Genomic DNA, 22,737 nt, shown 5'->3' with positions numbered 1-22,737 from the left:
TTTCAAAATTAATATCTAAATATATTTAGATAGATATAAACACGTATGTATAATACACTCACATGCATAATTAGCCCAGAAAAAGTGAGGGAAGTATTTTCTAATCAGTAACTAATATGACAGAGAAAGAAGTACTAAAGAGAAAAAGTAGCAGCATGACTTAGAACTAATAACCCTTCATCAAACATAATCACATGTGATTATGTGATAGAATGTTTCCTAGGGAACGTGGTTCAGGGTCAGATAGTTGATCCCCTTACTCAATGCAGAAATCTCTAGCACAACCTCCTCCACTGTGATTACCACCTTCCCATTTGAGAGGGCTCACTCTTTCCTTAGGTAGCCCAGCTACGATTTGGGCAGCTCTAATCATTAGACAGATCTTCCTTAGACTGAGCCAAATATAACTTCTTGTAACTTATGTATATTCTTTGTTCAGCACTCTGAAGTCTAATTTTCTTCATGACAGCTCTTCAAATGTCATTTTCTAAGGTACAGATAATGTCCCAACTTAATGATTTTTTGAACTTTACCATAGTGCAAAAGCCCATGCATTGAGTAGAACCTGTACTGTGAGTACCCATACAACCACTCTGTTTTTCATTTTCAGTATAGCATTCAATAAATTACAGAAGATATTCAGTACTTCATTATAAAACAGGCTTGATGTTAGATGTTTTACCCAAGCGAAGACTAATGTAAGTCTTCTGAGAATATTTAAAGTAGGGTAGGCTAAGCTATGCTGTTGGGTGGGTTAGGGGTATTAAATGCATTTTTGACTTAAGATATATATGTTTTTTGAGATGGATTCTTGCTCTTGTCACCCAGGTTGGAGGGCAATGGTGTGATCTCGGCTCACTGCAACCTCCACCTCCCAGGTTCAAGTGATTCTCCTGCCTCTGCCTCCTGAGTAGCTGGGATTACAGGCACCCATCACCACACCCGGCTAATTTTTGTATTTTTAGTAGACACCGGGTTTCACCACGTTGGCCATGCTGGTCTCGAACTCCTGACCTCAGGTGATCCCCTGCCTCAACCTCCCAAAGTGCTGGGATTATAGGAGTGAGCCATGATGCCCCACCTGACTTAAGACTTTTTTTATTGGGACATAAGCCTGTCATAAGTCAAGGAGCATCTGTATATAAGTATCTAAACTTTATTTATTCCCTTCATCCATTCAAGAAATTTATTCACTCTAGATTTTATTCCAGATGCTGTCACATATTTTATTACATCCCTAAGGCCATCTTAAAATGCATAATACCTAGAAAGTTCTACCAAAAAGCCAGGCAAAGTTATCTAAGCAGCTTTCAGAGACACCAGTGGATATGGCCTTAGGACAAAAGTGCATCTTAATACTCAAAATCAATCCAGAATTCATTCTATTTCAAAAGGCAAAGAGAGTTAAGACAGTTTATGTGAGTTGATTTCCAAGTGAAAAGAAAAGCTACCTCTATTTTCTGTTTTGTTTTAAATGTGCAAAAAGATCCCCAAATCTCGAAAAAATATCTTCTCATTGTTAGACCAAAGACGTTATTGTTAGCTGCACTAATGCTTTTATTTGAAACTAACAGTGGAACAGTATCACTTAACTCTGACTTGCATCAGAATGAAATTAGTCACTAGAGGCAAAAGATGAACACCTACCTCTACTCAGAACTAGGGTGATTTTTTGAGATATCTTAGGCCAATATGCACATATCCAATAAGTCAGGCAGCATTCAGTAGTCAAAGCAATAATAGGATATTACGTTTGAAGAGCACGCCCTGGGCCTTCTCCTCCCTTCCCTTGAATGAAGTCACAAATTATCTGTTATAAGTGGATGAAACATATTAGCAAAGAATCTAGTATGCCCAGTGGCCAGACTGACCCTGTTGCATTGGATTAATAGCTGACTACAGAAGACGGATAATGTTATACTTTGTGCAAAATGATAAATTTATGCCCTCACACTTTGCAAAGGAGTGAATGATTGTGCCCTCCCAAAATTCATATGCTGAATCTCTAATCCCAACGTGATAGCATTTGGAGGTGGGGCCTGTAGGAGGTAATTAGGTTACAAGGGTAGAACCCTGATGAATGACATTAGTGCCCTTAAAAGAAGAGGCCAGAGAGTTAGCTTGCTCTCTTTCCCTCACAGCCATGCAAGAATACAATGAGAAGACAGCAATCTGCAACTCAGAAGAGGGCCCTCACCAGAACCTGTCTGTGCTGGAACCCCAATCTCAGAATTCCAGCCTCTAGAACTGTAAGAAACAAATTTCTGTTGTTAATAAGTCACCTGGTCATGGTACTTTGTTATGGCAGCTTGAACTGTCTAAGACAAGCATAAACTGTACAGAAGTCCCCCTTATCCATAGTTTTACTGTTCAGTTTCAGCAACCCATGGTTGTATTTCAAAAATAGTAAATAAACATTTCCAGAAATAGACAATTCCTAAGTTTTAAATTTTGAGTTCTTTCCAAGTAGCGTGATAAAATCTCACACCATCTTGGGAGGTCCAGCAACTCCACACTGTAGACACTTCCTGCCCTGGAGTCACGGAATAGCCATCTCGGTGATCGAATTGACTGTGGAGGGATTGCAGTGCTTGTGTCTAAGTCACCCTTATTCTACTTCTTAATGGCCCCAAAGTGTGACAGGAATGATGCTGGCAATTAAAATAGACCAAGAAGTCATAAACGGCTTCCTTTAAGTGAAAAGTTGAAAGTTCTTCAGGAAAAAAAAAAAATTGTATGCTGAGGCTGCTAAGATTTACAGTAAGAATGAATATTCTATCCGTAAAACTGTGAAGAAGGAAAAAGAAATTCCTGCTAGCTTTGCTGTCTTACCTCAAACTGTAAAAGTTAGAGCCACCATGCATGATAAGTGCTTAATTAAGATGGAATTAAATTTGAGGGTTGAAGAAATGGACAGAAACGTTCCGACTGACTGCAATCAGGTTCGGTACTCTCCAAGTTTTAGGCATCCACTGGGGTTTTCAGAATTCATCCCCAGCGGATGTGGGGGACACTTGAATGTCCCTCGGTTCATCACAGTGATTAAAAGTAGCAGCCAGCATGCTACCTGGATCCTCAAAGCTCAGCCCATCATGTCCTTCAGGTCTTGGTCTAAATGCCAACTTTTCAGTAAGGCTCATGGTGCCTGCTCTAATTAAAATGTAATACCCTACGCCCATATTCCCAATCATCTTAATCTGACAATTTTCTTTATTCAGGGACCTTAGCCCCTTATAGTGTACCACATGGTTTACTGAATTACTGTGTGTGGGTGTTCACCATTCTAGTTCCCCTTCCTCCCAACACATAAGCTCACACACACACAAGCATTTATGAATGACAAGGACAGGACCTTCATCTGTTTACTGACTTATCCTAAGAATCTATGAGTCCTGGGCCCATAGCGGGAAGTAAAAAGTTAACATATATTTAAGTTGAATGAATGAATAATGACTCTGGGCTTAGATAGAGCTGGCCCCGGGTCCCCATTCAGCCTACACTCACTGAATGACCTTGGGAAAATGATCATCCTCTCTGGTCCTATGTTTCCTCATTAGTAAAATGTGGAATCTACAAGTAACTACCCCACAAGATCCTTGCGAGGATGAAGTGGGTCGCTGCATGGCAAGTCCTTAGAATTATGCCCGGACATAGAAAGCTTTCAATAAATGTTAGCTGCCACTGTTATTATAATTTCAAGATATGTTTCCTGAGGTGGCGATGGATTTGTGAAGATTTATGCTCTCAGGCAAATGGCTCTCCTCATATCTGACAGCACCGATCTGAGATGGTGAAAGGAATTCACTGCCCTTGGTAGAGCAGCAGAGTTACCAAGGATCTCGCCCTTTCCCTATGGTCTCTCATCAGCCCCAATTCAACAATGTCCTCGGCTTTGCAAACAAGCTGTTAACAGTGAAAATGGTACTGCCTCTGACCTGCTGAAGCAGAATAAACAAGACACTGAAACCACTGAGTAAGTGATGGTGAGGCTCAGAAACCTTAAAAGGCAGGGAGAGCAGCTTCTCTTTTCCCACTTGAACTGAGATTTATTTGGCTTAACTGGAGTCAAAGCTAATGGTTCTAATGACTTTGAAGCACCCCAACTTATTCTCCAGATTTCTACACATGGACTTACACTTTATGAAAGAGATATACACACACAAAAAAATTCCTCCATAAAAGAATTTACCAGACCATACTAATCACGTAGATATTAGCTTTATCCCTGGAGTAAAATCCAAGTCTCTCTAACAGCAATAGGAGATGGGGCTGCAAATTAGTCCAATAACCTGAATATTCACTAAGGACTTAGGAAAACAAAACACTTTGGAAACACTCATTATCGATTTACACATACCTTTGATCTATGGAGAAAAGCAAGGATTTCAGGACTGGTTGAGTTAGAAGAGGAGGCGGGAGTTCGTGAGGAAGACAGAGACGAGAGATCAAAAAGGATGACAAAAGTGGGAGGAATATTTACTGATTTCTTGGTAATAACAGTCTTAACTTCCCTGTTAGTTAATGTCTTTCCAAAGTTAATCTCTATGAAGTGGTCCCTTACGGCATTATAAGAGAAAAATGAAATGAATGACTACACATTCAAGGAACACATAATAACAAGTAATGTCAAGAAATTTCTCTCTTCACTTTAGAGAACAAACACCCCGGAGTTGATGCTGAAATTAAATTTTTAGACTCCCAAGTCAATGCTCTGTACTCTACACAGTAAGTTCTCTCAACTTTAACATGCACGTGATAAATGATGGAGTAGTTTTGCATTTTTGACAAGCTCCCAGGTGATGCGGATAGCGCTAGTCCTTGGAATACACTGAGTTGGAGGCCTCTGCCCATTACATCTGCTAAGGTAAGCCTCGTGAATAACTGTTTTTAATGAAAAGGTATTTTCCAAGAGCAGAAGATAATGAGATTACCAACAGAATATTGACGTGTTAAAAGTTCTAATAATTCAACAATATTTGTAATATTCAACAAACATTTGCACAGCGATGTCAACTGTCATTAATAAGTAAAATATACTTAAGTTGCAGATTTTTGAAACATAAACACTAATATTTTATAGTCGAGCTATCTATTAAAAGAAAAACTTCAGCCGAATTAAATTTAAAGGAATTTAATTGAGCAACGAACAATTCGCAAATCAGGCAGCCCCCAGAATCACAGTGGATTCACAGAGACTTCAGGACATCCACATGGTGGAAGAAGATTTAGAGACAAAAAAAGGAAAATGGCATACAAAAATCGGAAGTAAGGTACAGAAAACAGCAAGATTGGTTACAGGCTGGCGTTTGCCTTATTTAAACACAGTTTGAACACTCAGCAGTGTATGACTGGTTGAATATGGCTGCTGGGATTGGCCAAGACTCAGCTTTTGTTTTGTTTTGTTTTCTTTTGTTTTGTTTTTTGACACGGAGTCTTGTCCTGTTGCCCAGGCTAGAGTGCAGTTGCGTGATCTCAGCTTACTGCAACCTCCGCCTCCCAGGTTCAAGCGATTCTCCTGCCTCAGCTTTCTGGGTAGGTAGGATTACAGGCATGCGCCACCACGCCTGGATACTTTTTGTATTTTTAGTAGAGACAGGGTTTCACCATGTTGGCCAGCCTGGTCTTGAACTCCTGACCTCAAGTAATCTGCCCGCCTCGGCCTCTCAAATTGGTGGGATTACAGGTGTGGGCCACCGCGCCCGACCTCAGCTATTGTTACAGGTACATAAGCCTAAGGTTTTCAATCTTGCCTAGCTATTAAGTTAGGTTGCAGTTCACAGGGACTCAAATATAGAAGTACAGAGTACTTCTCAAGCCATATTTATTTTACTTTAATAAATCTCTCACTGTATTTTATTGTTATGCACTCATGGATAATTTCCTCCTTATGTTTGAGATATACCATACAGAAAATCCACTAACTCTATAAAACTGTCTTAATTTTCAGTCAGCTTTGATAATAAAGATACTATGTCTAGGGGTTGCTTTTACTTTCTTTGAAATGTAACATTTTAGATAAGAAAGATGGCACTGCCACACCTGAGCCCAGCAGGTTATTTGCAATCTACCATGGAATAACAAAGTTGACCATAACCCATTACATATATTACATCCCTATTTGGGAGGAGCCACAGTATAGGTGGGGTTTAGAGAAGAAAAAAGAAGGTCATTCTATTTCTGTTTTCCTCACCTGTAACAGAGGAATCTCGATGCATTTGAAGAAAGTTGATGAAAACTAAACACAGTGTGTACCTCTAGCCAAAACTCACAGTTACCTTGTAAAGCTTCCTATTGGTCCTCTTGAATCAGCTGAGCACAAGAGGTTTTTCCTATAAAAAGTCCACAGTGCATCTAAATCTGATCCCAGTGAAATTTCACTTCGGCTGAAGTGAAAATGCAGAGGTAGCATTTAAGGATAACAGCTGGAGAACATTAGTTCCCTGTCTCTCCTTTTCTCTCCCAAGGGTTGAAAATTCTGCTGTTCAGACAGGAAGTCGTCATATACCACACACTGCACAATACGAGAATGCTGGGATAGAAGAACAAGTTGCAGAGGATTAGAAGGGCTGGGGCGGGAGGCGGGTGGGGTGGGGGCAGGGGATTGTTCAAGAAAGAACTCATAGCAGTGATTCTATGTACCCCTTGGGCTGTCTTTCTCCCCCCGACAGTGTTCAACTAGCATACACCCAGAACTGACAAGCACATGCTACAATTATATCCTGAAAGCTTTTTAATAACTCGGAGTAAGAAGGCTTAATCACTTACTTTTCCTCACATTTTTATAATATTAACTCTAAGACGTTTTGGGGAGTGGCCCAGATTCTCCAATAATCTTTTTTGGCATACTTTCACATTTGCTATCTAAAAAGGCAGCCTTTAACTTTAAAAAAAAAATTGTCAAAAAAAAAAAAACTCAAATCACTGCCCAAGACAAGGAAATATACATAGATACACACACACACACACACACACACACATACACATGCACATATGGAAGTCAAAACATGATGATCTGGAAAAAGAATGACTTAAAGAAAAGGTTCTTGTGGATATGGTTTTTGTAGGGTCGGTTTCTGCTGTAATTTCACAAAACTGCTGAGAAACGAGGAGAGACACCCACATTCTGTGGCCACAGCTCAAAGTTTCGAACAGGATGATAAGAGTTTCCTCCAGGCCACAGGCTGAATAGCTAGCCTGCATTCCTACCAGTCTGCAAGCGCTGGCCCCTCCTTTGTAACCAACTGTCCTCTGGGGGCGGGCTGTAAAACTGACCCGGTCTCTTCCACTCCTCTTCAGCCAAGACCACTAGACACAAACCTTCTTAACTTTTGAACTGCAGAAAAATGCCTTTGCCTTATGCGTATCAGGGGCTAGCTGCTAATTGGGATACAACGCTACGGTTTTATGCAGAGTGGGAGGAGGTAGGAGAGAGAAGGGAGAAGCCAACCCAGACATCCATCATCCTTTTAGGAGTAGGTGGAGTTTAAAGTTTCCCTAACTTCCAAGTTCCCACTTGACAGGCAATATTTCTGTGCAATTTCCAGCCCCACGTAACAGATGGTCCTTTGCCCGTCTCCAGCCCCGAGAGAGACCAGACAAAGCCCCCAGCCATTCCACGCCTCGCAGGACTGATAGGTGCTTAGTTTCATGAAGCTGTCAGAGCAGGAGCAGCGAGCAAAGAATGGAAACTTAACTTCTCCTTCCAGAAGTTTTTTCTGCTACAGTAGAGTCCAGGGGGCTGGAGCACAAAGGCCCGGGAAAGTTTTCACTGAGTTATTTTTCAAAAACGTCTTCCGCCATCTGCCAAACCATCATCTCCTAAACCCCAGATGCCCAGGGAAGGAAGGTTAAGGCATATGTGCTCAGAAACACAGCAGAGATGCAACTTGAGCCTTCCCAAAGACAAACTGGGAAGTTGCTTAAAGAGACCCCCACAGTGGAAAAGCATCCTCGGGGCGCCTGACCTACTCACTGGTCACTCACTGCCAAAGGAGAAGGTGGTGACCCAGACAGGGTGCCAAATGGGGTGCGTCACGGCCGCGGGCGAGAACCTCCCTTCCCAGTCGGGAGGGCGAGGGAAAGGGGAGGAGGGACGCGATCCGGGAGTCTGAGGACGGGCGGCCCACTCACCCTCACTGCCGTACTGTTTGCCATTGTTCGCGCCCATCCTGTAGCCGTCATGCCCGCCGTCTCCCGGGACACTCCATAGCTGCGGCGCACGTCCTGCGCGCTCGGCCCGAGGAAAGCCCGCCCGACGGGACCGTTAGCTGCACATCCCCCCCAAGCTCCGGGGCCGACCTCCGGCCTGGAGAGGTCCCCGCACTCCAGTGGGAGGGGGTGCTGCGTCCCCTCCTGGCACCCCCGGTGGCTCCAGGCGGGGCCGGGCACAGCTGCAGCACTTACAATCCGCGCTGGGGGCCGGCGGGCGCAGCGCCGCGCACAGCCCGCGCCCCGGGGCCGCCCAGAGGCTCACCGCGCCGCCGCCGCCGGGTCCCCATCCGCCCGCCCCGATCCCCTCCGGTGGGCGCTGAGCCGGGCAGGCCCCTGGGCTCCGCGGCTCGACCGCCTCCTTCGGCTGCCCCTGCGCGCCCGCGGCTTCCCCGGGGAGGGCGCGGCGGCCACTTGTTGCGGGTCCCCGGAGCGAGTGAAGACTAGCGACCCGGCGCAGCTCGCCCGCGGGCCGGACTTTTGTTAGCGCCAGGCGCCTCCTCTCGCCGCCCAGCGTCAATCACAGCTGGAGCCCCGGGGAGGAAGGCCGGCCCGGAGATGCGCGGCCTTTTAAAGGGGCAGCGCGCCTTTTCGGGGCTGCGGCTCCAGGCCCCAGCCTGGGCACCGGCTCAGCGCGCTACGCGCGAACCCTTCGGAGCGAAGCAACGTCCTGTTGGCTCTGTTTTACTGTTGTTCTTTTACAGGCTTGGCCCCCAATCTATAAGATGAACTTCCAGGCGTCGTTTGGAATCCCTTGAGTTTGTCTGCAAGTACAGCCTATTTTAAGTGCGTGGGCATTTAAAATAAACACGCATCCGTGTCTAATTCTGACACCTTTCAGGTGTATGCGTTGGCATTCTCCTGTGACTTCCCTGTTTGGAGACTGGGGCGGAAAATGGAAGACAGAGGGAGGGAAAACTTGGGGCGACTTAGCAGGGAGTCGGTCCCAGGAGAGCCAGACTTTCCCTGCCCCGCCCCGGTGAAGGAGGTTTCCTGGCTCAGAATGTTTAACAGCTTCAGAGCCAGGAAATGTATTTTCTCCTCGTTTCTGTGATTTTTTTTTTTCTTGTGGTTGGTGTTATCCTTTGTTTAAAACATTATAGCCTCTTTTGGAAATTTATGTGACACTTCTACAGCTTTAAAATGGCCCTTTGGTGTTCGCTGCATTAAACAGAAAAAGGAAATTCTCCTTAATGTTTTATTCCCTTTTCATGTAAATACCTAGAATTTTATAACATTACATCCTAATAAAGACCAGGGCACTCACCGTGCAAATTTCTTTGTAGTGAGGCAAGCACAGAGCAGTTTTTCCTTGTAGATGTTAGATGTTGCAAATTAAATTAAAAGTGTATATTGATGCATACATACATAAATATGCGTATATAGAGATATACATACATAGATATATGCATATGATGCGTGAATACAGAACCAGGCGTTTTGTAATTACGTATTTCTTAAAAGGCTTGTGACCACATGCAGAAATTCTTAGTGATTTAACTTCTTATAGATTCTATTTGGGTAATTTCCTTTATTTACTACAATTTTCCTTTGTAACAACGGGATAAAACATCCATATTTCAAGATTTTTAAATCTAGATATCATGTACTGAAAGAAAAAAATAATAATCTATTTTCAAGAATGGGATCAAATGTTTTGTATTGTGCTGATTTTTCCACTGTCCAGGTCCAAAGAGATGAAAGACTATTTTAATTCATCTTTTAATATCTAGAATCCAGCACACTGGCCAATAATATGTGCTTCCTAAATGTCTGTCAAATTATATCTAAAACCTGTGTCATAGGCCCTAAAGAAGGTAGAGATATCAAAAATTTGGAAGAGTGAGTTATTTCAGATTCTACCTGAAAGCATAAATCCAATCTAGAAAGGAGCTGACGTCTACTTTATCTTCATGCAAAAGCGAATTTCTGCTCACCTGGTCTGTATTAGTTTTCTGTAGCTTATAACAGAATTCCTGAAACTGGGTAATTTACAAAGAAAAGAAATTATTTTTTTGGAGGCTGAAAGATCCAAGCTCAAGGGGCACATCTGACGGGAGCCTTCCTGCTGGTGGAGGCAGCACACGGGGCACCACACAGTGAGGTAGCTGAGCGTGCTAGTTCAGGTCTCTCTTCCTCTTCTTCTAAAGCCACCAGCCCCACTCCTGTGATAACCCGTAAATCCATTAACCCATTAATCCATTAATCCATGAATGGATTCATCCATTCGGGAGGCAGAGCCCTCATGACCCAATCACCTCTTAAAGGTCCCACCTCTCAAAATTGCCACATTGGGGATTAAATCTCAACATGAGTTTTGGGGTGGACAAATATTCAAAGTATAGCATGGTCTTTGTGATTCTTCTGTCACCATGCAGGGAACTTACCCTGGATCTGATCATTTTGGAGGCATATTTGAAAATAAACTGGGTGTAAAGTAGTAGAACAAAGGAAGCTCTTCTTGAAGTTTGATGTACAGTTGACAATTTGCTTTTTATATGCTATTATTTCCCTGACGGTCTTAGTCTCTCCCTTGCAATTTACAAATGGGAAAACGGACAGCAGAAACTGAGGCTTGAAGAGTTAAATGTCTAGAGTCACCCAGATGGTAAGTGCCAGATTGATTCAGTTTCTCAGTTTCTCTCCACCCCACGCCACTGCCTCTCTGGACCTGGCCATTATTCAACTGGGAGTCACTGTCCTCCCTTTTCGATTGGGTCTCTTTTCAGAGTCTTTAATATCAAATTAAAGCCAACAGTGAAAAGTAAATTCTGGTGACCAACTACATGTATCTTTCTTGAAATTAAATTCTGTAAATATTTTTCAAAGCTTTATTGCCTACTCTACTGGGAAATGGAGATAACTCATTTTATGAAATTCCAGCTTAAAACAAAATGGAAAGCATACTTGATTTTTAAACATCCTTCTGATCATAGAAGTTGATAAAAATGCATGTTGGCCTATTCACTATAAAAGCCACAGCCAATTAAGCAAAACAAAAAGAAAAGCACTATTCCAGCTGCAAATACAGGCCTATTCACGTTTATATATTTTAATTTTCAAAGTTAAGATATTGTACCAATGTCTTAACCCAAAATTCCAAGCTTTTTACCTAGCTTCCAAACCTAATCCCCAGCTTTCAATACAGTATGGCAATCTCCTTGAGACAAGGGTGGTATGTTTTTCACCAGTGTGCTCCCAATACCTAGCACAGCTGCTAACACAAAGTACTCACTCAGTAAACACTAGCAGAATGAGTGAATGTTGAACAAAGAGATGATGTGACTTGAATGTTATTGTACCTTCTCTGTCATTGCCTTTTTAAAGAGGCCACAATCACTAAAAGGATTTTTTTAAATAAACATTCAAAATTACCTAAGCTGAATAAGAATATACTAGGTATCTCATGTTTTTTTCCACTCAGGACCTTTTCCTGTAAGGAAGTCTGCTAACACCAGCTCCTGTACTTTGGGAAACTGTTTCGTCCAAATTTCAACCATGGGCTTCCTGTGAAAGCTTGTCAATCATGGTAATGGTGGTAAACTTCCTGTACCCGTAAGGGCCAGGCTGACTCAGTCCAACACCCACCCCCACCTGGCTATAAGGACAGAAGCAAGTGCTTCTCTGCTTCCCTGCTAGGAGGTGTCGGGGGAGACCTGGTGGAGAGTCAGGAGTTTCACCATCACTCAAGGGTAGCAGTGTCATCCCTACTGCACTGTCAGTGGAGACCATGTGGGAAGCTGGAACTCTCACAGTGGACGTCCAGCAGTAAGGAGGAACCCCCTCAGGTCAGGGAACAACAGAGATCAAGGGGGATTCTGGGGTTCTACCTCCACCTGGCAATTATAAGGTGTCCTCCCTCCTTTCACTGGCAGAGCAGTATCAGAAAAAGATAGTTAAAAGCTTTCAATAAGATCCAGAGTCTACTAACATGATATGAAAGTGTCCAGGTTTGAATTAAAAATCACACATTATACCAAGAACCAGGAATATTTCAAATTAAATAAAAAAGTTAATAAATGGCAACACCAAGATGACAGAGATGTTAGAATTATCTGGCAAGGATTTTGCAGCAGCTATGAAAAATATTTCAAGCGTGGTACAAACATTTATTCTATGAGTAAATTACACATATGCTTATAACAAATGAAAAAGCAGAAAGCTTCAGCAAAGAAATAGAAGATATTAACAAGAACCAAATGGGCACTTCAGAGCTGAAAAATAGAACTGAAATAAAATGCTCAGTGAATGGGCTAAATATCAGAATGGAAGAGACACAGGAACAAATCATTGAATTGGAGGATAAATCAATAGATATTATCCATCTGAACACGGAGAAAATAGACTGAAAAACATGAATAGAGCCTCAGGGACATGTGGAACTATAATAAAAGATCTAACATTCGTGTCATCAGAGTTTCAGAAAGAGAGAAGAAAGAGGGAAGAGCTGAAAATGTACTTGAAGAAATACTGGCTAACAATTTCCCAAATTCTTAAAATAAGAAAATTATAAAAGTAGAGAAAGATTAGTGATTCTCAGGGGTAATTTGGAGGCTAGAGGAAAATGGATGTTGTTATAAAAGGGCCACATGAGATATCTTTGTGGTGACGGAAATGTTCGTATCTTGACGTTATCAATGTCAATCTCCTGGTCTGGATGTTGCACTACAGTTTTGCAAGATGTTACCACTGGAGGAAACTGGGTAACTGCATTATTTCTTACAAATGCATGTGAAATCTACAATTATCTCAAAACATAAAGTTTCTTTTGAAGAAAGAAACTTCTTTCTCTCCGTCAGAACTATTTCTACATATTCTTTTTCTGCTGTTATTTGCTGTACCTCCCGTTTGCACTTCACACACATACATTCACCTGGGAGAACAAATGTCTTCAGGAGAACTGATTTCTTAGTGTACAGTCTATCTACATTCAGGTCTATTGAGCACTGCATGATTTAGGCAAAGTAGTCAGCCAAAAATGGTGCCTATTCAAAACCTTGAGCCTTGAGCCTTGAGCTACCAGAATTTCATACTCCATTGATGAAAGGAACTGGCCATTTGCTAAATAGCTCCCATTTACTTTGCAATGTGTGAACCTGATACAGAAAAAAAAAAAAAAGAGAAACATAAAGGTAGAAACGTCTAAGTTTCAATTGATAGTCACATTTTCATTTCTATTTTTTAGTGACTAACTCAGTGGCCTTTATGCTACTTTAATAAATATGTCAACACTCTGAGTAATAGGAATGTGTTTTCTTCCAGTAGTATTTTTTTAGGAATATTGATTTCAAAAGCCAGCTTGATTTATAACACATTAGGCCCTCATTTTCTCTGGGGGGTGGAGCTGTCAGGTTCAAGTTAATGTTCTCCGCTTGGCGCTAGTGACAGACAGGCTGTCAGAGCGCATTAATAAAGCTGTAATCCCAGGAGCCAATCAGGGCGCCTCTTCTGTTCTTCTGGTCCCCTTGGCTGCCAGGCGCCTGCAGGAGCACATCATTAACCACAAGCTTCCTTGGGGATACTGTAGACAAAATAAACTCTCCCGTGAAACACATCTTGGGAAACATTCAAAACTGGAATCCCTGGTTTAACAAAAGTACAAAAAAAAATTAAGAAGAAATATTAGTTTGTAAAAGGAAAAAATGAACCAGACCGTTGTATGATAAGAGCTTCTGCTTTTAGCTTCTTCACATTTATTTTGACTTTCTTCTCTGTTGAGTTGCCTTCAAAAATCTGAATCACCTGCTTATCTTTAGTTATTTTTATATTTCAGAATATGGTTAATTTGCATATTCTGTTACTGCAATTAAAGTGGAAAATAGCAGCCCAGTTGTAGAGCTGTGTTTAAATGCATGCATGAGATCTTCTAAAAGAAGAAATACTGTTTTTAATCAATACAGATTTATTATCAAAACATAAAGTTGAATTCTGGGCAAAATTAACATTTATAGCAAACAAAAAATAAACATATAAATTATATCCCGCATACCAAACACTGATTCTGTACATTATTAATATGTAAAAATGAAGAAGAATAAAAAAACACAGTCTAATTTTATTTTATTATCACCTCTGTGCTGTTTTGAATTAAGCACTTTGCTTGTCTCATTTGATGCTCACAACTTTATCAGGCAGCACTTCTAGACACTGTTTTATGGATGAGGATATCAAAGCTCAGAGAAGCTGAGTAAATTCCATAATGATGCACAGCAAGATTGGAAGCAGGTCTGTTTGTAAAGCTTCTGATATTTCTCACTGCTTTCTGTCACCAATATCATGCCTTCACATACTACCCTGGTTTTGGACCAAGCCCAGCTTTCAGTGGAGAGTGTATGTATTTAATAGAGAGTGAAACATCTTTTGACATCTGTGAAATTGAACTAGATTTCAAAACAAATATTTATTATGCAGCATAAATCTTTATCGTTGTCATAATAATAATGAATGGCTAGATATTTAATGTAAACATTTTAATAACACAAATAGATAATGTAGTAGAATGGGTACATATGTAAGTATATAAGCATGTGCAGTGCTTAGAGCACAGCAAATGTGAGATAGATGATAAATTAGATACATAGATGATAGAGAGCAAACGTGAGATAGATGATTAAATAGACAGTAAACGTGAAATAGATAGATAGATAGACAGAAAGAAAGACCATATAGCTAAGTTTTTTGAAACTTTATCTCCTCACCAAGGTTCCTTCCAAGCTCTGGGGAAAAAGTGGACGTTTGCTCTCCTTTTAAATATTGCAATAGCCATACACTTTCCAAACAGTTGCACATCGGCCGTGACTCTACATTTAACACATAATTCCACATCTTTTTATTACCCCTCCTTTATCAGGCAATTATCCTTTATCAGAGAATAAACCACCCGATATCCCATAATAGCCCAAATCAGCATCACAAAATTTATGTACTTAGCTCAGAGCGTGATAGCATGTATTCAGAGTCGTAGTATGCTTAACTATCTGGATTCTTAGAACATAGCAAATTAGAAGCAAGGCATTAGGAGTATTGCTAAAGACATCTGAGAAGCTATAAGAAGTTCCTGCTGGTTGCCTAATAGGGAGAGGGATGAGAAAAATCTCTACAAAGATGATGGAAAATCTGCATAAACATAAACAAGAAACAAATGAGGAGTCTGGGGTGATGTAAGCATAGGTTACTGCCTGTATTAGTCTGTTCTCACACTGCTATAAAGAAATACCTGAGACTGAGTAATTTATAAAGAAATGAGGTTTAATTGGCTCCTAGTTCCACAAGCTGTACAGGAAGCATGGCTGGGGAGGCCTCAGGAAACTTACAATCATAGCAGAAGGTGAAGGGGAAGCAGGAACATCTTCACATGGTCAGAACAGAAGGAAGAGGGGGTTGTCGGGGGAGGTGCCACATGCTTTTAAATGAACAGATTTCATGAGAACCCTATCATGAGAACAGCACTAGGGGGATGGTGATAAGCCATTAGAAACCACCCCCATGATACAATCACCTCCCACCAGGCCTCAGCTCCAGCATTGGGGATTACATTTTAACGTGTGATTTGGGTGTGGACACAGATCCAAACCATATCATTGGCTTAGTTGAAGTAAAGTCAACTCCTGTAACAAAAAAACCTCCAAATTTTAGTGACCTGGCTTCACACAATAGAAATTTATTCCTGGCTCATAAAATAGTCCAAACACATGCTATTATTTCATTAGAGATTATTATCCTCAAAGTAATTCAGGGATCCAGGCTTCTTAAAATGTATAGCTCTACCAACCATAACATCACTCACACACAGTAGCAGAAGGCACAAAACATGAATGGGATGGTCATACCATATAACATCTGCTCACATTCCACTGGTGAGAACAAATTCAATGGCCACATCTGGATGCAAAGGAGTCTGGGAAATGTAGTCTCTGGCTAGTTGGCTATCTTCCAGTCATGACTCCACACCAGGACAAAAGCCAGTGGGTCTCATCCCTGGTACTTACAGCCTACCTGCATATGGTGGAGCATGGTGCAATACACACATCAGAATGCGTTCATCTGTTCAACACTGTTTCAAGCCCTAAAGATACAGCAGTGAATAAAGTAGATGCAGCCCCTGCTCTCATGGAGATAGAATCATCATGAGTAGAGACAGACAATAAGTAGGTTCATATACAAATAAATAGTTTCAGGTAGTGACAAAAGCTAGGAAGAAAGTAAATCAAGATAATGGTATACAGGAGCTGAGTTTTCTGGCAGTGGCTACGTTAGCTGGGATGATCAGAGAATGTATTTCTGTGGATATGAAGTTTGTGCTGAGACTTGAACAATGAAGAGGATATAGCTAAGTGGAACTTTGGGGGGCACAATATTCCAGAGAAAAGAAAATACAAAGTTCCTGAGACTAGAATGAGCTAGGCATATTCCAAGGCAAGAAAGGGGACCAGGGTATCAGTCAGCTACTGCTCTAATGTTATGTAACAGATTGTCCCACAACTCAGTGACTTAAGATACAAGCAATTGTACTTCTTTTTGTGTTTGCTCACAGTTCTGTAGATCACTTGGCGCCACTTTAATTCAGGCTTATGGATGATTTGTACTTGGCCTAGAATTCAGGTCAGGTTTCTCCCACAAGTCCTTCTGGAGCCCAGGCTAAAGGGGATAAGGCTCCCTACAGCATGATCTTCCATGGCTGGCCATAGAGCTGACAGAGGCCAAGCCAACCCTCATAAGCGCATTTGAAAATTCCACAAGCATCACAAACAAAATAAAGACACATGGCCAAATGCAAATCCAATGGAGGAGGGAGATGCTTGGCCCACTTTTGTGCATTGCAAGGTCACATGACAGAGGAGGGAGTGAAAAATTAAGAAACATATTCTAATTCACTGTAGCTAGCATGGCCCGAATGTTGTGAATAAATGGAAAATTTACAGATTTGTGGAAGAAGGAGCAATGGCCAGATTATACAGTGTTTTGTGAGAATGAAAAAATTCATTCTGAATTTTATTGTAATTACAATACAAAATAGGGAGATTTTTAGTAGGGAAGTTATTTGATCTGGTTGATATTTTTAAAAGATCAGCAGGATTTAGTGTGGAGAATGGGGAGACTCTTGGAAAGCCAGAGACCTGCGAAGAAGTCTCCATGCTAGTAGAATAGGTGAACAAAGTTTGACTTCAATTAACACAATAATAGCAGTAGACAAGTAAAACATGATCAGATTAAAGATGTATTTGGGGGGTAGAATCAACAAAACTCACCTGGTTGTTTTGTAGGAGAAAAGAGGAAAATCAGACAAGTGTGGTGGTTCAAGCCTATAATCTCAGCACTGGGGAAGCCAAGGCAGGAGGTCACTTGAGGCCAGCCTGGACAACATAGCAAGACCCCATCTTAGCAAAAACTTTAAAAAATAAGCCTGGCATGGTGGTATGTGCCTGTAGTCCCAGCTACTCTGGAGGTTGAGGCAGGTCACATGAGCCCAGAAAGTTGAGGCTGCAGTGAGCTATGATCACACCTCTGCCTTCCAGCCTGGGCAAGACAGTAAGACCTTGTCTCTTAAAAAAAAAAAAAAAAGAAAGAAAAGTGGAAAATCTAAGATTATGTTTAGGTTTTTTTGCTTGAGCAAAGGGTAGAAATCAGCTGGGAAGATGAAGGAGAAGCACCGTAGGGTTGTTGTCTGGAAGGGATTTTTGTGTCCAAACTCTGGGACTGCTAACATTGAGACAGCCATCAGATACAAAATGGAGCTGTTTAGTCAGCAGTTGACTTGATGATTTGGGTATCAAGAGGGAATGTTGCTATCTGTTCAATTTGAGAGTATTCAGCTCAAAGGCAGCATTTAATGCTATGGCCCAAGATAAGTGAAATTAGGAATAAAATGTAGATATTATAGAAAGCTAAGGACAGACCCCAATAAGTGTCAGCATTTAGCCATCTCACAGAGGAGAGGGAACTGGCAAAGGAGATTGAGAAGGAGCGGCTAATAAGGTGTGAAAAAACACAGAAGAATGGGGTTTTGGAAAAGCTAAGAGGAAAATGCTTCAGGAAGGAAGAAGCAGCCCAGTGTGTCAAATGCTGCCAACTGTTCATGTTCAATGAGTAGACCATGGGTTTGGCAGCAGGTGTAAATGGTGAGCTGTTAGGAGACCCATCATAAGCCATTTCAGTGTAGTAGTGTGGACAAGACTGGAGTGCATTGAGGAGAAAGACACAGGTTTGTGTTGTTTTTTGCTTTTTGAATGGGCAGGCTCTGTTCGGTGATTTTTGTATATTAACGGGAATAGTCCAGTAGAAAGGAAAATATAATAGGATAGAAGCAAAATACTTGAGTTGAAGAAAAGGATTGGAACCTGAAATACAAGAGAAAGGACTGGTCTTGATTAGGAGCAAGATTAGGTGCTTCATCAAAACAGAGGGAAGGTAGGCTCTGGAATTAGATGCAGGTAAGTTGGTGGATCTGGCGGAGAAAAGGGAGACTGTGATCGTCCAGTTACCTTCCCAAGCACCTACCACAGGATGCCTTGGAATGCACAAGCTCGGTAGCCAGGCACAGTGCCAGAAGGGCATGCTTATCATCCCTGCCTGGGACTCCTACTGTTCCACCCAACCCAGATTGGCTGCCTGTTTGCTGGCTGAGCAAGAAAGACTGGTAAGAATTGCAGCAGGGGTTGCTTCCCAGAGCTCAGCTGGTACACAGCAGTATCATCAAAGCCTATAGAAGGTCTGGCCAACTGCTCAGCTCAGGGGAGAGCCAAACATCACAAGTACAATTAACTTTGAACCTGTTTGGCTGTTCAGCAATCTTCAGCTTCGTTTGTGCTCTATAATCCAGACCTGAGGTCATGTTCTTTCTGGCTCCCTCAGCAACTGGTAGAAATAGATATAGAAAAATCATTCCATTAGCATACGATCATCATGTAGTAGATGATGCACTCTGATCTTTCCCTTTGAGGCTGAGTTCCTCATTCCCCTAACTGCCAGGAGCATAGGCTGCCCACACTCAAAGAAGCATCTTGCTCTGGGAATTTCAATAAGGGTGAGAGAGCTGCCTTGTCCAACATTTTACCTCTCCCTGGGGGCAACCCAAAACCACTGAAAGTGTACAGAGGCTCTGGTCCTTGCTTTGATTAGAGATGTCCATAAATCAGAGTTTCTCCAAGTCAACAGTATCAGCATTTAGGGCTGGATAATTCTTTGTTGGGAGGGGCTGTCCTGTACACTGAGAATGCTCAGGAGCATCTCTGGCCTCCCTCACTGGATACCAACAGCACCCCTCTCCACTTACATCAATCAAAATTGTCTCCAGACATTTCCACAGGTCCCCTAGAAAAGGAAACTACATCCAGTTGAAATCTACTGGTTTAAAGAGTATCACAGTTGTAGAGATCTTTCTGGAGTTAACTGAAGGCTCTGTCACAAATTAATCTCAGTTCAACGCCTCCCTCTATTCAATCCTGCTTTCATAATTCCCGTGCAAACTGCACACATATCTCCACCCTGATTTTCTGTCTGGGAGCTCAACCTTGACAGTGGTCCTAAGAAGCAGTCTCTAAAAATGTTTGAGCTGGATCACCCACCAGCCAGCTGAGTCCCATTACTGATTGATAGAGTACCAATGGACTGTGACATATCGCATAAGTAAAACTGTCCAAAAACTTTATTAGTGGTGGACTGGCATGAGAAACAGCTGGAAGGGGATGAACTGGCTTGGGCAATAGCTCAGGTGTTTGAGAAGTTGGAGGAAGTCACAATTACAAGGTCTACGAAATCAATTAGTTGACACTAGAGGATTTTGATACTTGGAGAAAGATAATAAAAGGCTGAGAGCGACTGATCACAAACTTAGGCACCGCGTCTTTGAAAGAATGTAACCACAAACTTGTCTTCTTCAGCTGGAGGACAGAAAGAGCTGAAGATCTGCCTACCTCCAATGACTGGTCAGTTCAGCACACAAATGCCTGACTTTCTTGCTTCAATTTGAAATGTATCTGGAGATGCATCGTAGCCTCAGAGCTCTTTGATCTGCTTCAGTTGCTGCTGTAGCTACATCACCACCCAAATTCTCCATCTGCCCAATTCTCCTTCCTGTCCCTCCATACAGTAATTGCTGCTAAGAGAACTTCCTAAGAAAACACCTATAAACATACACCAATCTTGATATAGCTTCCAGGGAACCTGCTCCATGACACCTCTTAAAAATCCCTTGTCATATGTTTTCTTCCACCTCTTGCTCTATTTCTCTTCTCACTTTTATTTCAAACATTATTGAAAACATATCTATATTCACTGTTTTTACTTTGCCACTTCCCATTTTCCCCCGTTGGCTTTTGTCCAAGCCATCCCCTTAAGTGGCTGTTATCAAGATCTTCAATGACACCCATTTTGCAAAACTTTCTGAATTGTTTATCCTACCCTCCTTAAACTTCCAGTTCTCAATCCTACATCATCAGATGATAATACTCACTGACCCTCCTGCATGCATTCATTTGTATCAATATTAGCAGTGATTTCAATATACAAGCAGATGATCCCACTCCCTAGCCACTCAATTGCATAATCTCCTTTATGTTCTCTGCCCAACTTCATCCCAACATTCCCAAGTTCAACTTCCCAACTTCACCCATCAACATTCCCAAGAGTTTGTCATTACCTATCACTTAAACACATCACTATGGTTTGAATATGTGTCCCCTCCACATCTCACGTTGAAATTTAATCCCCAATACGGCAGTATTGAGAAGTGGGGCCTTTGAGAGGAGATTGGGTCATGAGAACTTTGTCCTCATGAATGGAGAAATCCATTCATGGGTTAATCAGTTAAGGGGTTAATGGAGAAGTGGGCAATCATGGGAATTGAACTGGCTTTATAAAAAGAGGAAGAAAGACCTGAGCTAGCATGCTCATCCCACCCACCATGTGATGCCCTGTATGCCTCAAGAATCTGCAGAGGGTCTCCACCAGCAGGAAAGACCCTCACCAGATGCAGCCTGTTGATGCTGGACTTTTCTTCCTCCAAAGCTATGTGACATAAATTCCTTTTCTTTATAAATTACCCAGTTCCAGGTATTCTGTTATAAGCAACAAAAAATAGGCTAAGACACCCACTATAAACTCAACCTCAAGATCACATTTCCAGTAACATCTTATCTTTATAGCTCGCTTCCTCTATTACCACACCTCAATTGGGTTTTTCCTCACCTCACACCACTGAAGTCTGACAATGCTCACCACTGAGAACTCACAGTCCAGTGATTTGACCAACGTTGCAGTGTCTCAAACTGCCCTGATATCCTTACTTCCCTGCAGTATTAAAAATCATTTTCACTTCTGTGCACAGCTCTTGTGTCATTGTACTTAACTGGCTAAACTGTATCTCAGAAAACTAACTCTCTGTTTAGTTAAATATTGTACCTACTTCAGCTGAACATGTCTGGGATAAAGTACACAAGCCCCCGACCATGCCTACTAACCTGAACTGGGCCTTTGTTGATTCCTGGCAACCCTGCTCCATGCCCCTCTCCACGTTCTTATCCCTCTCCTGGAGGACTTCTTCACTCTCCTGTACCTATATCAGTTCCCCCAATCCTCATTTTTAGCTGATGATTTTATTTTTTTACTCTGCTGAGAAAATAGAAGCAAACAAAAGAGAAATTTCCAGGCTCACATCATGACTTATTCACATGCATTTGTGCCTCTTGTTCTTTCCCTGCTCCTAGCTGAGGCCAGCCCTCCCAGTTGCACACTAGATAACATTCCCATTGACCTGCATGACTACAACCGTCATGCCTCTTTCTCTTCCATTATCAATTGTAGTAGATGCTGGGAGTGCCTACCTTGACAGTTACCACTGATGTATTCTGTTTAATTTCCAACTGCCAGTAAGCATCTGTGCTTGAAGTCTTTCCCCCAAAATGGAAAGTCCACTTTACCCTCACATTTGGCAGTCTGAATATTAATACTGGCTGGGTATTAACACTCCCTCACCCCCAGCAGCCCTCAACCAAGGACAAATGGGAAATTATGCATAAATACCCCTGCTCCTGTGTCTGGGTGGGGCCATTCTGAAGTGTATGTTTTATATTGGTTCCCAGCATTTGCCCATGGGATTAAGCTCCAGGGATTCACAGTAGTAGCTAGCTTAATAATGCAAGCTTTTGCTTTTCCCACTCCACCTGCCTTTGGTGTTTTCTACACTTACCAAATAAGTTACTTTGCACTCAAACCTTTGTTTCAGGGCCTGTTTCTCGAGAATCCTTAATGAATACATTAATTATTCCCACTTAATTTTATCATGATCTCTTAAACATTTTGCATAATTTTCCTTATATCTGGTTACATCCAGAACCCTCATGAAGGAGTTTCATGTATTTCTGTTTTCCATTTCTCTCTTCCCATTCTCTCTTGACTTCTCCCCAGCCGGGTTCGCCCCTCCACTCTTCCACCAACACTGTTCTGGTCAGTGTCCTTCCTGCTCACTGACCATCAGGCTCAGGCCTCCTTTCACTCATCCTGTCAACTCCATTCAACTTACTGATCTGCCCC

General features: G+C 41.9%; 1 protein-coding gene and 1 long non-coding RNA gene across 3 annotated transcripts in view; both read right to left on the bottom strand.

Annotated features, from left to right (window-relative positions):
• Positions 1-8,664, bottom strand: part of FBXL7 (F-box and leucine rich repeat protein 7) — a 439,614-nt gene extending 430,950 nt beyond the window's left edge. Inside the window, exon 1 of one of the 2 annotated variants that reach the window (NM_012304.5) lies at positions 8,131-8,664. In NM_012304.5, coding sequence (NP_036436.1) covers positions 8,131-8,167 — 37 coding nt within the window. In that variant the 5' untranslated portion in view covers positions 8,168-8,664. Of the gene's footprint in view, positions 1-7,120; positions 7,407-8,130 lie in introns of those variants that run through there. The other variant, NM_001278317.2, reaches the window with a different exon arrangement.
• A 3,632-nt stretch (positions 8,665-12,296) lies between these two features.
• The window catches only part of LOC124900945 (uncharacterized), a 70,896-nt gene continuing 60,455 nt past the window's right edge, over positions 12,297-22,737 (bottom strand). Inside the window, exon 2 of the long non-coding RNA XR_007058701.1 lies at positions 12,297-13,790. This is a non-coding gene — a long non-coding RNA (uncharacterized LOC124900945). The remainder of the gene's footprint in view (positions 13,791-22,737) is intronic.

The sequence above is a fragment of the Homo sapiens genome, chromosome 5 (assembly GCF_000001405.40).
Source record: "Homo sapiens chromosome 5, GRCh38.p14 Primary Assembly".
In the NCBI taxonomy this organism is placed as follows: domain Eukaryota; kingdom Metazoa; phylum Chordata; class Mammalia; order Primates; family Hominidae; genus Homo; species Homo sapiens.
Note: the sequence above shows the minus strand (reverse complement) of the source record. Positions and strands in the feature narration are given on the sequence as shown.